The sequence below is a fragment of the Homo sapiens genome, chromosome 2, assembly GCF_000001405.40.
Source record: "Homo sapiens chromosome 2, GRCh38.p14 Primary Assembly".
Lineage (NCBI taxonomy): Eukaryota > Metazoa > Chordata > Mammalia > Primates > Hominidae > Homo > Homo sapiens.
This window is the reverse complement of record NC_000002.12, coordinates 42495504-42512815: the sequence shown is the minus strand read 5'-3', so window position 1 is coordinate 42512815 and position 17312 is coordinate 42495504. Positions and strand designations below refer to the sequence as shown.

At 44.8% G+C, this 17312-nt stretch overlaps 1 protein-coding gene across 1 annotated transcript in view; it reads right to left on the bottom strand.

Moving 5' to 3' along the window:
* The window catches only part of MTA3 (metastasis associated 1 family member 3), a 262837-nt gene that overhangs the window by 244131 nt on the left and 1394 nt on the right, over positions 1–17312 (bottom strand). The gene's annotated exons all lie outside the window — the stretch shown is intronic.

Sequence of the window (17312 nt, the reverse complement as noted above, 5' to 3'; positions counted from 1 at the left end):
TGGAAGTTATATACAATTTCTCCCTTTCCATAAGTATCTGTTGTTACTGAGGTAGACCACTGGTACAGTGGTTGAGTGTTTTCTAATCCCTTGACATGGTCTAAATTAAATACACACTGTTATCTAGAGGAGAAAATGTCTTCTTGGCATCATCAAAGGAAACTTGGTAAGCTTATTTTCTTCTTTCTTTGGAGATTTACGCTGACATTTGTTCTAATTGTCCTTTCAGTTTCATCCCTCACAACAGAAGCTAGTGAAAGGGGATAAAAAGCTTCTCAGTGTCCTTTGCTATAAAGATTTTTGTTTGTGATTACTTTCCTCTGGAAAGGAAAAATCCTACTTGGAAGACATAGAGTACTAGCAAATGTTAAGCAGAGGGCAACACTCCTGCAGTCAGAGGAAGGTTCTCTTCTGGGGAGAGGACCTGCTGTTGCTTGGCCACATGGCAGCATGGAGTTACAGCACTGGAAGTGGAATCCCGAAAAACTAGGAAAGCTCCAGTGGGCACTCATCTCTCATCATTTTTGGCTGAGCCATAGGCTCTTTTTTCAAACTCAGGCCTGAGACAGGCTTACACACCAACCTAAATGCATCTTCTCCAAATCCCTTTCAAAAACTGCCAGTCATCAAGTTGAGGTTGATCTCTAGTATAAAAACAAAAACAAAAACAAAAAAAAAAGGAAAAAGAAAAAGAAAAAAACCCTCCCAGTCTTCCAGATTGCTATACTTCTCAGGTTTCCACAGAAAATATTATTATAATTATTTTTTATTTTATTTTATTTATTTATTTATTTTTTTTGAGATGGAGTCTCGCTCTGTCGCCCAGGCTGGAGTGCAGTGGTGCAATCTCGGCTCACTGCAAGCTCCGCCTCCCGGGTTCACGCCATTCTCCTGCTTCAGACTCCCCAGCAGCTGGGACTACAGGCACACGCCACGACGCCGGGCTAATTTTTGTATTTTTAGTAGAGATGGGGTTTCACTGTGTTAGCTAGGATGGTCTCAATCTCCTGACGTTGTGATCCGCCCGCCTTAGCCTCCCAAAGTGCTGGGATTACAGGCGTGAGCCACCGCGCCTGGCCTATTTTATTTTATTTTATTTTGAGACAGAGTTTCACTCTTGTTGCCCAGGCTGGAGTACAACGGGCGATCTTGGCTCACTGCAACCTCTGCCTCCTGGGTTCAAGCGATTCTCCTGCCTCAGCCTCCCAAGTAGCTGGGATTACAGGCATGCACCACCATGCCCAGCTAATTTTGTATTTTTAGTAGAGACAGGGTGTCACCATGTTGGTCCAGCTGGTCTTGAACTCCTGACCTCAAGTGATCCACCCACCTTGGCCTCTCAAAGTGTTGGGGTTACAGGCATAAGCCACTGTGCCCGGCAAAAATATTATTTTTTGCAACCTGTGAGAACATGTATCTCAGAGTAAACTGAGGCAAATGCCTGAGGTTTTTTTTTTTTTTTGACGTAGAAAGGTAATGAGATCACACACACCAGAATTGAATCATTTTATCTCCAGTTAAGAACCAGAGAAAAAAAAAGTATTTTAAATCCTGCACTTTGGAGAAAAATGCAATTACTGTTGAAGAGTATATCAATTATTAAGTGTGGAGTCAATGCTATTTTGGTTGCATCTACAATGAGAAGATCATTTCCAGGAATGCCATACACTTCACTTCAGTCAAACCCAGTCCCAGTCTTTCCTCTAAGGCAGAAATAGCAGCACTGAACATAGTGGGAGGAGGGCTAGGATTGTGGGGTTGGGAAATAGATTGTTAGAGGGACAGAAGGGTAAGAACAGCAGGTGTTTTTGAAAGCTAACTCCTAAACTAGTTAATTTTGGTTCATTAATGTTGGTAAAGGGAGCTCTCCTCTTTGCAGAATGGATAGGACACAGTGGGGAACTTCCATTCAGTTTGAAAGTGTCTTTGATTTTTCTTCCGAACAGAATCCTTGCCCAGCTGTTTGAATATGTCCTGTGATGTGATAAGGGTCAGAGTGGGGGCATCCCCCTCTCTCTGCCTGGCTCTCCCACTTCCTTCCTGTCTGGGCTCAAGGCTTGCTTTGCTGGAACGCTTCTTCCCCTGATCTCCAGCACCCAAACAGTTGGATATCAGGGATGTCAATCTACCCCCAGGGCAACAGCCCTCTACATTTTTTTCCCCATATTTTCTATAGTTTCTAAGCCAAGATACTACAGGAAAGAAGCAGTTCTTTTGTTTCATGACAGTGTCATTAAGATATAATTCACAATTTGCCCATTTGAAGTGTTCAATTCAATAGTGAACAGTTCCCTCCTTGTAGGTCCTGGTCTGCTTTCACATTTTCTCCTTCCTCCAGGGACAGAAGGGGTGAAGGCGGGGACCCAGACATGATGGGAGCTGATCTCAAGAACTTTTCTGACTAAAGCATCTGCTGAGTAAGGAATAACAGGGGTACTCATTGACCCAGGATTGGGGCCAGCTAAACGAGGATTTCTGCTGTGCTTTTTTTTTTTTTTTTTTTTCTGAGTCGCCCAGGCTGGAGAGCAGTGGTGCAATCTCAGCTCACTGCAACCTCCGCCTCCTGGGTTCAAGCGATTCTCCTGCCTCACCCTCCCGAGTAGCTGGGATTACAGGCCTGTGCCACCATGCCCAGCTAATTTTTGTATTTTTAGTAGAGATGGAGTTTCACCATATTGGCCAGGCTGGTCTTGAACTCCTGACCTCAAGTGATCCATCCACCTTGGCCCCCCAAAGTGCTGGGATTACAGGCATGAGCCACTGTGCCCAGCTCTGCAGTGCTTTTAAACACGGGAAGCTGGCAGACACGGCAGGTATGGGGGGAAAGCAGTGCCAAGACCTTCTCTACCAGAATGCTAACCATTTAAGAAAACAGAAGTGGTTTTTCAGAAAAAGCCTAGATTTCCTAAGTTGGTCAATTCCAGCCTCACTATATAATGTATACATTAATATAGCCAGTTCAGCACTCAGAGAACAGCATTTAAATCAACAGTAATATTTATTTATTCCTTTATTTTACTTTTTTTTGTTTTGTTTTTGTTTTTTGCGACAGGGTCTCACTGTGTCGCCCAGACTAAAGTGCAGTGGTATGATCATGGCTCACTGCAGCCTCAACCCCCCAGGCTTAATTGAACCTCCCACCTCAGCCTCCCAAGTAGCCGGGATTACAGGCTCATGCCACCACGCCTGGCTAATTTTTGCATTTTTTAGTAGGAACAGAGTTTTGCCATGTTGCCCATACTGGTCTCAAACACCTGGGTTCAAGCAAGCCACCCACCTTGGTCTCCCAAAGTGCTGAGATTACAGGTGTGAGCCACCATACCCGGCCAACAAATAGGTATTGAGCTTCTACAAGGAGCCAAGCACCGTTCTAGGAACTGGGAGTATTGGTGTGAACTGACCCCAGAGTCCTTGCTCTCAAAGGAAGTGAACAGCATCTTGTGGGAGACAGACGGTAAATAAGTAACAGGTGAGGCCAGGCGCAGTGGCTCTAACCTGTAATCCCGGCACTCTGGGAGGCCGAGGCAAGCGGATCACTTGAGGTCAGGAGTTCAAGACCAGCCTGGTCAACATGGTGAAACCCCGTTTCTACTACAAATACAAAAATTAGCTGGGCATGGTGGTGGACACCTGTAGTCCCAGCTACTTGGGAGGCTGAGGCAAGGGAATCGCTTGAACCTGGGAGGTGGAGGTTGCAGTGAGCCAAGATCACGCCACTGCACTCCAGCCTGGGCGACAGAGCAAGACTCCGTCACAAAAACAACAACAACAACAAAAACAAGTAACAGGTGAATAAGTAAAGTGATTTTTAAAAAATAGACTTTATTTTTTAGAGCAGTTTTAGGTTCACAGTGAAATCAAAAGGAAGGTACAGAGATGTATAACCCCTTTCCCCCAACATATATACTATATGTTGTATAGTATATATGTTGTATATATAATATATTATATAATATATTTAATAATTTAATATATTTAATATTATATATCATATATATCATATATAATTTACAATATATTTAATCTATGATATATTAAATATATTATATAATACTATATAATATATAATATTATAAATATATACAACATATTCCCCCCTTAACTAATATCCCTCACCAGAGTTGTATATTTGTTACAGTCAATGAAACTACGTTATTGGCACATCATAATCATTCAAAGTCTAGGCTGGGTGCAGTGGCTCACACCTGTAATCCCAGGACTTTGGGAGCCTGAGGCGGGAGGACTGCTTGAGGCCAAGAGTTTGAGACCAGCCTGGGTAACATAGTGAGACCCCATCTCTACACAAGATAAAAAAAATTAGCAGGGCATAGTGTCACACGCCTGTAGTCCCAGATGCTCAGGGGGCTGAGGTGGGAGGATCGCTTGAGCCCAGGAGGTTGAGGCTGCAATGAGTGGAGATGGTGCCACTGCACTCCAGCCTGGGTGGCAAAGCAAGACTGTCTCAAAGAAAAAGAAAAAAATAAGTCTATAGTTCATATATAGGGTTCACTTTTGGTGCTGGAGATTCTATGGGTTTGGACAAGTTAGATTTTTAAAAATAGGGTAAGGGAAAGAAAAAAATAGGTTTATATGCTAGAATGTGTGGCTGGGGAAAGATTTCTCTCTGAGGAAGTGACATTTGAACTGAGACTTGACTGACAAGAAGGAATGACCCACCTAATGCTCTGGGACAATGTGTTCGTGCTCTAGGCAGAGGGAACAGCAGGTGCCCAGCCTGGCCCAGGTGTAACTCAGAAGATGGGGATGCAGAAACCAGCAAGAATGGGCCTCAGGAAAAAGAGGTAATCTGGTAGAATGCTACATGCTCAGATTTTTTTTAACTAGGTTTCTTTCTTTCTTTTTTTTTTTTTTGAGACAGACTCACGCCGTTGCTCAGGCTGGAATGCAGCATCGAGATCTTGACTCACTGCAACCTCTGTCACTGCAATCTCTGCCTCCCGGGCTCAAGCCATCATCCCACCTCAGCCTCTGGAGTAGGTGGGACTACAGGTGTGCGCCCCCGTGCTTGGCTAATTTTTTAACGTTTCTGTAGAAATGGGGGTCTCACTATATTGCTCAGGCTGGTCTTGAACTCCTGGGCTCAAGTGATCCTCCCACCTCAGTCTCCCGAAGTGTTGGGATTACAGGTGTGAGCCACGGCACCTGACCTAGTTTTCCTTTTTTTTTTTCATTAAAAACATAATCTTTTCACACAGTTAAAAAAAAAGATGAAAGGTTTATAATAACCAACAAAAGATAGGTCTCATGTCTAACCTCATATTCCTAGTCCCTCGACCAAGAAATAACCACTCATAACTATTTTATGTATCTTTTTCAGAAATCTTATTCTCAGCCAGGCACAGTGGCTCATGCCTGTAATCCCAACACTTTGGGAGGCTGAGGTGGGAGGACTGCATGAGTTTGAGACCAGCTTAGGCAACATAGTGAGACCCCCATCTCTATATAAAAAAATGACATTAGCTGGGTGTGGTCATGCATGCCCATAGTCCCAGCTACTTAGGAGCCTGAGGAGGGAGGATTGCTTGAGCTTAGGAGGTCAAGGCCACAGTGAGCTGTGATTGTGCCACTCTACTACAGCCTGGGAGACAAAGCAAGACCATCACCAGTGGCTCACGCCTGCAATCCCAGCACTTTTGGAAGCCGAGGTGGGAAGATTGCTTGAGCCCAGGAGCTGGGAACCAACCTCAGAAACACAGTGAGACCTTCTCTCTACAAAAAATTAAAAAATTAGCCAAGCGTGATCACGCATGCTACTCCAGCTACTCGGGAGGCTGAAGAGAGAAGAAGCCACTTGAGCCTAGGAGTTCGAGGTAACAGTGACCTATAATTGCACCACTGTACTCCAGTTCAGGAGATGGAGTGAGACTCTGTCTCAAAAAAATAAAACAGGCCAGGCGCGGTGGCTCACACCTGTAATCCCAGCACTTTGGGAGGCCAAGACGGCCGGATCACCTGAGGTCAGGAGTTTGAGACCAGCCTGGCCAACATGGTGAAACCCGTCTCTACTAAATTTACAAAAATTAGCTGGGTGTGGTGGTCTGTGCCTGTAGTCCCAGCTACTTGGGACAGAGGTTGCAGTGAGCCGAGATCATGCCACTGTACTCCAGCCTGGAAAACAGACAGAGACTCCATATCAAAAAAGAATAATAAATAAATAAATAAATAAATAATAATAATAAGTAAATTATCTCCAATCCGTTACCCCCCGCCTACACCTCTCTATTTTCAGATCCAATCTGAAGGAATTAAGGAATCACAATCGGCATTCAAAAATAAGCTTAAATGAAGTCCAAGGTGTTAACATTTTATTTTTACTCAAAAAATATATATATATAATATTTGAGACAAGGTCTCACTCTGTTGCCCAGGCTGGAGTGCAGTGGCATGATCATGGCTCACTGCAGCCTTGACCTCCTGGGCTCAAGTGATCCTCCCACCTCAGCATTCTGAGTGGCTGGGATCACAGGCATAGAGTACCACCACATGCAGATAATTTCTAAAAAATTATTTTTAGTAGAGACAGGGTCTCACTATGTTGCCCAGGCTGGTCTTGAACTCCTGGGCTCAAACAATTCTTCTGCCTCAGCCTCCCAAAGATCTGGGATTATAGGCATGAGCCACCGTACTGGGCTTTACTTTTTTATTATGGATAATTTCAAATACATATAAAAGTGGAGAGATTAATAAAATGAACCCCATTATCCAGCTTCAATAATTATCAATTTGAGGGGGCTGGGTGTGGTAGCTCATGCCTGTAATCCTAGCACTTTGGGAGGCCGGGGCGGGCAGATCATTTGAGGTCAGGAGTTCGAGACCAGCCTGGCTGACACGGTGAAACGCTCTATTAAAATTTCAAAAATTAGCCAGGCGTGGTGGCAGGCACCTGTAATCCCAGCTACTCGGGAGGCTGAGACAGGAGAATCACTTGAACCTGGGAGATGGAGGCTGCAGTGAGCTGAGATCACGCCATTGCACTCCAGCCTGGGTGACAGAGCGAGACTCCATCTCAAAAAAAAAAAAAAAATTATCAATTTGTGGCCCATCTCGTTTCATCTATATTCCCACCCACTTGCCCTTGCTCTTGGTTGTTCTGAAGTACATATCAGACATTATATGATCTTCTCCTTAAATATTTCATGATATGAAAGTGGCTTTTGGAAGACTATCTTGTATAATGATCCGCATTCTAGATTCATCTGATTGCTTCCTCTGGCATCACCTAACTGGTTCCTCCCTCCAGGGGGGTGCTTAGTGCTTGGTAGAGAGGAGAGGTGGTGCTGAGCCAGCATGGGAGGCAAGACAGCCTGCATAGTCTGTGGGTTTCAGTATTGGTTCTGGCACTTACTAGTTAGCTTTGGAACCTTAGGTGAGTCAGTCATCTCATCTCCTTTTTTTTTGTTTTTGAGATGAAGTCTCACTCTGTCACCTAGGCTGGAGTGCAGTGGCACGATCTCGGCTCACTGCAACCTCCGCCTACCAGGTTCAAGCGATTCTCCTGCTTCAGCCTCCTGAGTAGCTGGGACTACAGGTGCATGCCACCACGCCGGGCTAATTTTTTGTATTTTTAGTAGAGATAGAGTTTCACTGTGTTAGCCAGGATGCCTCAATCTCCTGACCTCGTGATCCACCCACCTCAGCCTCCCAAAGTGATGGGATTACAGTCATGAGTCACCACGTCCCACCCCATCTCATCTCTTAAAGCCTCATTTCTTCATCTGCAAAATGGGAGTAATAATAACAGTGTTTTTGTGGGCAGCAGAGTGCATGGTGCCTCCTAGAAGGGCTTAGCCATCGTACAGAGCAAGGTCCACAGAGTGGTGATGGGGAGAAGGGTCATCCCAGTCCAACAGGGCAGCATGACTGGAGTGAGGCTGGGGTGAAGATTACAAAGAGGGGCTGTTCCTATAATGGCACCTGTTAATGATTATACAGTGAGCTTTGCAAAGCTGGAAATTTAAGGAAGAGAGTGTTTCTTTTGCTTGAATAAGAGCAAAAAGGGGCCAACTGTGGTAGCTCACGCCTGTAATCCCAGCACTTTGGGAAGATGAGGTGGGAGAACTGCTTGAACCCGGGAGTTCAAGACCAGCCTGGGCAACACAGGGAGACCACATCTCTACAAAAAAAAAAAAGCAAGCTTAAAGGGTCCTAGAGCAGAAGAAAAAGCAAGGACATTGATGTGAGATGGTGTCATAAGTATGACACAGGAGCGACATGTCCCTCTGGTGGCTTCTCATCTTTAAGAATGTGGTTCATGGGGCTTGGTGTGGTGGCTCACCCTGTGATCCCAGCACTTTGGGAGGCCGAGGCAGCTGGATCACCTGAGGTCAGGAGTTTGAGACCAGCATGGTCAACATGGCGAAACGCCATCTCTACTAAAAATACAAAATATTAGCCAGGCATGGTGGTGCATGCCTGTAATCCCAGCTACTCGGGAGGCTGAGACAGGAGAATCACGTGAACCTGGGAGGTGGAAGTTGTAGTGAGCCAAGATCACGCCACTAGACTCCAGCTTGGATGACAGAGCGAAGTCTTTTGATAGACTCAAAAAAAAATAATGTGGTTCATGGCTGGGTGTGGTAGCTCACGCCTGTAAACCCAGCACTTTGGGAGGCCAAGGCGGATGGATCACCTGAGGTTAGGAGTTCAAGACCAGACTGTCCAACACAGCGAAACCCCATCTCTACTAAAAATACAATAAGTTAGCTGGGCTGGGCGTGGTGACAGCTGCCTGTAATCCCAGCTACTCAGAAGGCTGAGGCAGGAGAATCGCTTGAACCCGGGAGGTGGAGGTTGCAGTGAGCCGAGATCATGCCACTGCACACCAGCCTGGGTGACAAGAGGGAAACTCCATCTCAAAAAAAAAAAAAAAAAAAGAATGTGGTTCATGGGGTTGGATGGGTCTGAGGGCAGTTTGTTTATTTATTTGTTTTCCTTTCTTTCATTTTGTTTAAATGATGGGGGCTTGCTATGTTGTCCAGGCTGGTCTCGAACTCCTGGGCCAAAGGGATGCTCTTGCATCTGCCTCCTGAGCAGCTGAGACTACAGGTACACACTACCACACCTGGCTTTGAGGCCATGAGAAGGAACAGGAGCCCCTCTTAGGGGCCTGCTGGGCACCCTCCACCTCAAAGCATAGAAATAAAAGGAAATTCTTGAGCTCCTTCAAGGTAAATTCCAGGCACCTAGCTAGTCCTGAGAAGTAAATAAACAACCTGACAAGCAAGAAGGTAACAGTAGTTTAAAATTTCAGAGGTGTTTGAACCAGAGCAACTCCATCTTGAATAAATAGGAGCTGGGTAAAACAAGGCTGAGATCTAGTGGGCTGCATTCCCAGACGGTTAGGCATTCTTAGTCACAGGTTGAGATAGGAGGTTGGCACAAGATACAGGTCATAAAGACCTTGCTGATAAAACAGCTTGCAGTAAAGAAGCTGGCCAAATCCCACCAAAACTAAGATGGTGACAAGGTGACCTCTGGTCGTCCTCAGTGCTACACTCCCACCAGCACAATGACAGTTTGCAAATGCCATGGCAATGTCAGAAAGTTACCCTATATGGTCTAAAAAGAGGAGTCATGAATAATTCACCCCTTGTTCAGCGTATCATCAAGAAATAACCATAAAAATGGGCAACCAGCAGCCCTTGGGAGCACCTGCTCTGTCTATGGAGTAGCCATTCTTTAATCCATTACTTCTCTAACAAACTTGCTTTCACATTACTGTACGGACTTGCCTCCAATTCTTTCTTGTGTGAGATCCAATAACCCTCTCTTGGGGTCTGGATCAGGACCCCTTTCCTTTTTTTTTAATGTTTTATTTATTTGCTTTTTTTTTTGAGACAGAGTCTTGCCCTGTCTCCCAGGCTGGACTGCAGTGGTGCGATCTCAGCTCACTGCAACCTCTGTCTCCCGGTTTAAGTGATTCTCCTGCCTCAGCCTCCTGAATAGCTGGGATTACAGGCGGCTGCCACCATGCCCGGCTAATTTTTTTTTTTTTTTTGAGACAGAGTTTTGTTCTTGTTGCCCAGGCTGGAGTGCAATGATGTGATCTCAGCTCACCACAACCTCCGCCTCTAGGGTTCAAGTGATTCTCCTGCCTCAGCCTCCTGAGTGACTGGGATTACAGGCATGCGCCACTACACCGGCTAATTTTGTATTTTTAGTAGAGACGAGGTTTCACCATGTTGGCCAGGCTGGTCTCAAACTCCTGACCTCAGGTGATTCAGCTGCCTTGGCCTCCCAAAGTGCTGGGAGTACAGGCATGAGCCGCCGCACCCGGCTGGATTGGGACCCCTTTCCAATAACAATAATAGCTAAGGAAATTAGAATCATGGCATGTTATTTCCCTATAGAAAGTAAAGATAACATCTGCACATATGTCCCTGAGTTGTTTTTCAGAAACCCGTACCTCCACCAAACACATCCACTGGCACACAGACCTCAGATGGCGGACTAACAACTGAACTCAGACTGCCATTCTTTGTTCTAAAATTCTTCCTGAGGGTCCTGGAGGAGGTCACACTTGCAGGCCAGAGCCAACGTTCTTTTTTGCTGATCCCAAATTTTTAGACAAAGCTTCAACTCCTTAATCAATTGCAAATCAGGAAATCTTTGAATCCATTTATGACCTGTTGGCCACCCCCAACACCCCCACTTTGAGATGTCCCCCCTTTTCAGGTCAAACCAATGTATGGCCTCCATGTATTGATTTATGACTTTGCCTGTAACCTCTGCCTTCCTGACTTTAAAAACCCTTACCTGTAAGCCATCAGGGAATTTGGGTCTTTTTTAAATTTAAATTTTAATTTTAATTTTTGAGATAGATAGAGTCTCACTCTATTGCCCAGGCTGGAGTGCAGTGGCACGATCTCGGCTCACCTCAACCTCTGTCTACCAGGTTCAAGTGATTCTCCTGCCTTAGCCTCCCCAGCAGCTGGGATTACAAGCATGCGCCACCAGGCCCATCTAATTTTTGTACTTTTAGGAGAGACAGGGTTTCACCATGTTGCCCAGGCTGGTCTCAAACTCCTGACCGCAAGTGATCCACACGCCTCGGCCTCCCAAAGTGCTGGAATTACAGGCATGAGCCACCGTGACCAGCTGGGAATTCAGGTCTTAAGCATGGGCTGTCCGATTCTCCTTGCTTGGCACTCTGTAATAAATGCCTCACTTTGTCTCGCTGCAATCCTGATGCCAGTGTTTGACTTTACTGCATTGGGTAGTGGACTCAAGTTCAGTTAGGTAACTTTAATGTTACCTAAATGTTAAGTTTAATGAAGCTACAGTGTTAGGAGTGGGTTGGCTGACAATACAATAATGGCCTCCATGCCATATGCAGGGAATCAGAATATGCCTCCCAAAATATGCCATTTTGAGGTAAGGATTATTTTGAGCTAAAGGCAATTGAGAAGAATCAGACATAAGAAAAAAATTATGCCCTCCTCTTCTCTACTAGGAAAGGAAGAAAGATTCTTAACCACTGGAGACCCTAGCCTCTTATCAGCCTAGAGATAGGACCAGAGGAATCTATGTAATGCATAATGCATCTTATAAAACAACACTTACCTTCTGTTAGTTTCCTGACATGTTTACTTTCCCATAGTTTGCCACCCCTAAAAGCCTAAACTCCTTTTCCTTTAGCTGGTTACTTCGTAGCAAATTTATTATTCTTTATTAAGATGCTATACAGGTCACGCGCGGTGGCTCATGCCTGTAATCCCAGCACTTTGGGAGGCGGAGGTGGGCAGGTCATGAGGTCAGGAGATGGAGATCATCCTGGCTAACACGGTGAAACCCCGTCTCTACTAAAAATACAGAAAATTAGCCGGGCGTAGTGGCAGGCACCTGCAGTCCCAGCTACTCGGGAGGCTGAGGCAGGAGAATGGCGTGAACCCGGGAGGCAGAGCTTGCAGTGAGCCGAGATCACGCCACCACACTCCAGCCTGGGCGAGAGTGTGAGACTCCGTCTCAAAAAAAAAAAAAAAAAGCTTCATAAAGCCTCTTGATTTTGATACTAACAACCCTTTGATTTTCTCGGTGTAATGTACTATGCTGTACTTGTTAATAAAGTGTTTCTAATAAACTGTGTTTCTCTTGTTAATTTATCTTTTGTCAGTCTAATTTGTAGGAGCATAGGCCAAGAACCTAGGAAGGTAGAGGAAAAAATTTTTCCCCTCCCTTACACATATTTCTTGCCTCAGCCTTAGATATCTGAGAACTTTTACGTTTTTTCTTGTATCTCTCATTTCTGTTTCTCTGTTTATTTTTGAGAGAGCCTCTGTCACCCAGGCTGGAGTGCACTGGCATCCACCTCCCAGGTTTAAGCGATTCTCCTGCCTCAGTCTCCTGAGTAGCAGGGACTACAGGCACGTGCCACCACACCCAGCTAATTTTTTTTTTGAGATGGAATCTCACTCTGTCACCCAAGTTGGAGTACAGTGGCGTGATCTCGGCTCACTGTAACCTCCGCCTCCCAGGTCCAAGAGATTCTCCCGCCTTAGCCTCCCGAGTAGCTGGTATTACAGGCGCCCACCACCACGTCCAGCTAATTTTTGTATTTTGAGTACAGATGGGGTTTCACTATGTTGGCCAGGCTGGTCTCGAACTCCTGACCTCAGGTGATCTACCTGCCTCAGCCTCACAAAGTGCTGAGATTATAGGCGTGAGCCACCGGCCAAATTTTTGTATTTTTAGTAGAGACAGAGTTTCACCATGTTGCCCAGGCTGGTCTCAAACTCCTGACCTCAAATGATCCACCTGCCTCTGCCTCCCAAAGTGCTGGGATTACAGGCATGAGCTACCATGCCCAGCCATCTCTCTCTCTCTTTTTTTTTTTTCAAAAAAGAAAACACTTTATTGAGGTATGATTAACATACAAAAAACTGTACATATTTCATGTATACAACTTCTTGGGTTTGGAGATGAGTATACACTTTTGAAACTGTCATCACAATCTATGCCATAAACATATCCATCACTTCTGAAAGTTTCTTTCTGTCTTTTTATTATTCCTTTTTTTTTTTCCCTCTGTTGCCTAGGCTGTAGTGCATTGCCTTGATCTCAGCTCACCGCAACCTCCGCCTCCCAGGTTCAAGCGATTCTCCTGCTCAGCCTCCCCAAGTAGCTGGGATTACAGGCATGCATCACCACCCCGGCTAATTTTGTATTTTTAGTAGAGACGGGGTTTCTCCATGTTGGTCAGGCTGGTCTTGAACTCCTGATCTCGTGATCTGCCTGACTCGGCCTCCGAAAGTGCTGGGATTACAGGCATGAGCCATCATGTCCCACTATTCCTTTTTTTGAAATGATAAGAACACCTATAAGATCTACCCTCGCCGGGCGTGGTGGCTCACGCCTGTAATCCCAGCATTTTGGGAGGCCGAGGCGGGTGGATCACCTGAGGTTGGGAGTTCAAGACCAGCCTGACCAACATGGAGAAACCCTGTCTCTACTAAAAATACAATATTAGCCGGGGTGATGGTGCATGCCTGTAATCCCAGCTGCTCAGGAGGCTGAGGCAGGAGAATCGCTTGAACCTGGGAGGCGGAGGTTGCGGTGAGCTGAGATCGCACCATTGCACTCCAGCCTAGGCAAAAAGAGTGAAACTCCGTCTCAAAAAAAAAAAAAGATCTACCCTCTTAGCAAATGCTTAAGTATGCATTATAGTACTATTGAATATAGGTACTATGCCACATCGTAGATCTCTAGGACTTATTCATCCTATATAACTGAAACTTCATACCCTTTGACTTATACCTCCCTGTATTAGAGCTCTGTAAACAAGACCACTCTGAATCTTGGGATAACCTCATAGTGCTATTGAGTTACAGCTCTACCTTTGTAATCTGAGAGACGAAAATAGATGCCCCTTAATAAACTAAGACAGACCCTAAGATAAGGAAACCAAGTTACTGATGGGTCAAGGGCTCAGGGCTTGGCTGGCAAATTTCTAAATTACTGTGGCTAAACTCCCTAAAAATAGGAGTTTTCAATTCTGTTATACAACCCAGATGACAACAACTCTGTCTGGATAGACAGCCATTACAAACATTCTTTTCTGATGAGCTGCTGCAGACCCCAGGTCAGTTTCAGCCAGCTTACAGAGGCAGCACACAAGCTGTCTTTGTGGCCTGTAGTTCACCTGTTGACATAAAGAGCCAAATTCCACCTCATTTTAATGCTAAAGCCCCATCACAAAGTGAACACGATGTATGTTACATATATGTGTACCAATTATGCATGTGTGCGCCTCCCCCGTAAGTATGTATAGCTTTTCCCCCAAGCCTGCTGACTATGTATGATACAGGCCCTGTGAGGCCTAAAACCCAACCTGTTATTTCCCTCTTTGAAGAGAGAGCACCTTCAGTCCACACCGGAGACTTTCTCTTCCTGGCTTGCAAACTGATAACAACAATAAAGCTCTCCTTTCTACCATTCAGCCATCCTGGTGGTCTTCTGAACACCTTCTACAGGGGTCATTCTGCACACTGGGCTAAGTCATTAGCCTTTTATATTTTAAAATGAGAGAAGTTTCCATTTGAATTTCCATTCGAAAAGCTGTCTTTAAAAGTACCAACTGATTCGGCAGAGGCTGAGAAATAAACTGATGTAAATGCAAACATTGAAAAATATGAATTAACAGCAGGGCAAGGGCTTTTTAAAGCAGACAGAGTTGATAAGTAAGCTGCATGGAACAGTAGTGCCCACAGGGTATTTCAATTTCTAAAGCTTTGGGGGAAACGGTGTTTGGAGTCCTCGAACACATCCAGTTATGCAATGCAAAGTGATGGAGGAATCTGTGTTCAAGCCAGAGTCAGCAGTAAAAGGGTCACAACTTTTTACTGAATTTTTTGTTTCAGGTTACTCTGTTGTTGGTCACATGTTTAGACAAATCAATTCACTTATCCAATCTGTGTTTATTTAGAACCCAGGAATGAGAAATGAGCATGGCTGATTTGGGCTAAAGGAAGCATACATGAAGTGAGATGTTTCTAGTGTCATGCACTGAGCTATATACCACCTTCACATCAGCTTGTGATCTTTTCATTACCCCTTTGGATGTAGGTATTATTATCTTCATTCTACGGAGGAGAAAAACTGAAGATCAATGAGGTTTAAGGAACTGGCTCCAGGTGGCTTAGCAAATGAGTTATACAGCCAGGGTTTGAGCCTAGAGAGAGCCCTATAGACAATCTGGACTTTTTTTTTTTTTTTGAGATGGAGTCTCGCTCCATCACCCAGGCTCAAGGGCAGTGGAGCGATCTCGGCTCACTGCAACTTCTGCCTCCCGGGTTCAAGCGATTCTCGTGCCTCAGCTTCCTGAGTAGCTGGGATTACAGGGGCGCACCACCACGCCCAGCTAATTTTTGTATTTTTAGTAGGGACGGGGTTTCACCATCTTGGCCAGGCTGCTCTCGAACTCCTGACCTCATGATCCACCTGCCTCGGCCTCCCAAAGTGCTGGGATTACAGGCATGAGCCACCGCGCCTGGCCAATTTGGACTTTATTGTATGGACAATTTCTAATTATCTACTTTTATATACTCCTTTTAGGTTTTGTTTGTTTTGTTTTTTTTTGAAAACCTCTAGTTTCAAGAGGAGTTTTGCTCTTGTAGCCCAGGCTGGAGTCCAATGGCACAATCTCAGCTCACTGCAACCTCTGCCTCCCAGGTTCAAGCGATTCTCCTGCCTCAGCCTCCCCAGTAGCTGGGATTACAGGTGTGCACCACCATGCCTGGCTAATTTTTTGAATTTTTAGTAGAAACGGGTTTCACCATGTTGGCCAAGCTGGTCTCGAACTCCTGAACTTGGGTGATCTGCCTGCCTCGGCCTTCCAAAGTGCTGAGATTACAGGCGTGAGCCACCACACCCAGCCACCTTTCAGGTTTTTGAATTTGGGAATGCCCTGATGAAAATGGATGGAAGGAAGAGCTCTGTGGTGGCCTTATTCAGAATTCATAGAGATAGGAAAGAACTGGAGTGCAAAGAGATGAGGTAGAAGGTTGTGGCAGCAATCCAGGCCCTGGAAACAGAGTGAGCAGAGTTTGACATGAGAAAACCTGATTCTAGCCTCTGCCAGGATGCTGCTGCTGGGAATGCTCGGGCTAGTTACAGCCACATCTCTGAAGCTTTGTAACTTCGGAGGGGAGGAAAAAATGGGAGTAATTTGCTTTTTTTTTTTTTTTTTTTTCCTAGGTTCTGAAACTAGAAAACCTCTAGGTTCTTTCAAACTCTAAAATTCTACCTTTAAATTGTAATGCATTCTAAAGATTTAGATATGAAGACCCTAAATACCATCCCGAGTCTAGGAGAGAATCTGGATGTAATACTTCTCAACATTATCTTCTCAAAGTACAAAGAATAGAATTGGCTTTAAGAATGCTCTCTAAACCAGATTATATTGAGACAAGCCTATCATTTCTGCATCACTGTTTTCTTTGTTTAAGAAAACGATTTGGGTATTGCTGCTGCAGCAGTGGTTGATGATATTAAAATCAAATAAAAATATTACTCTTGAAACAAATGAAATGATTTAAGCCTATCTCTCTAAGAAATCGCATGAAAATATACCTAGGAGGCACACATTGTATTGTCATCAAATTAATTTGTTTTCTAAGCTCAAATGTAATTTAAAATGAGATATTTCTTCAACTGGTTCAATCAACAGACAGTAGAAGGATTCTACGGAGAGAACACAGGAAATAAACCCTACAATAATGTTAGAGCAAACAATCGGCACTATAGTTCTGTCTTCTATTGCTTGTGATGCTTCTAGAAAGTATTTTTTAACGGCTTCCTGATGAATTGGCTCTTGGTATCAAGCCAGGCTCATCTCTGGCTCACATCTGCAAACTTTTCCCCATCCTCACGTCCTACAACAAATCCATCTTCAAGACCTGCAAAGTTCTTGGTCTCAGCGTTTCTCAGAACAGACCCTTCTTCATCTTCACAGACACGGGGTTGGGGATCCCATTCCTGGGTTGCGAAATGACCTTCTCCTTAGAATGACCCAAAGTGCAAAGGCATCTTCCTGAAATAAAGCTTTCATCAAGCCATTTCTGCTATGGAAACCTCCAGGGATTCCATTGCTTATGGGATCCAATTTAAATGCTGCAGTTGAGATCCCCATTGTTTCAGTGGGCAAGTGCATTATACTTCTTCACAGACTTTAAACCTCCACATTCGAGATTTTGCTACTAGGAATGTTTTGCCCTTTCTCTGTGCCAACTCATGGCCATCAGCACCTCCAATTCTGTCTTGAAACTCACTTTCTTACAGATATTTTTCTTGTTTAA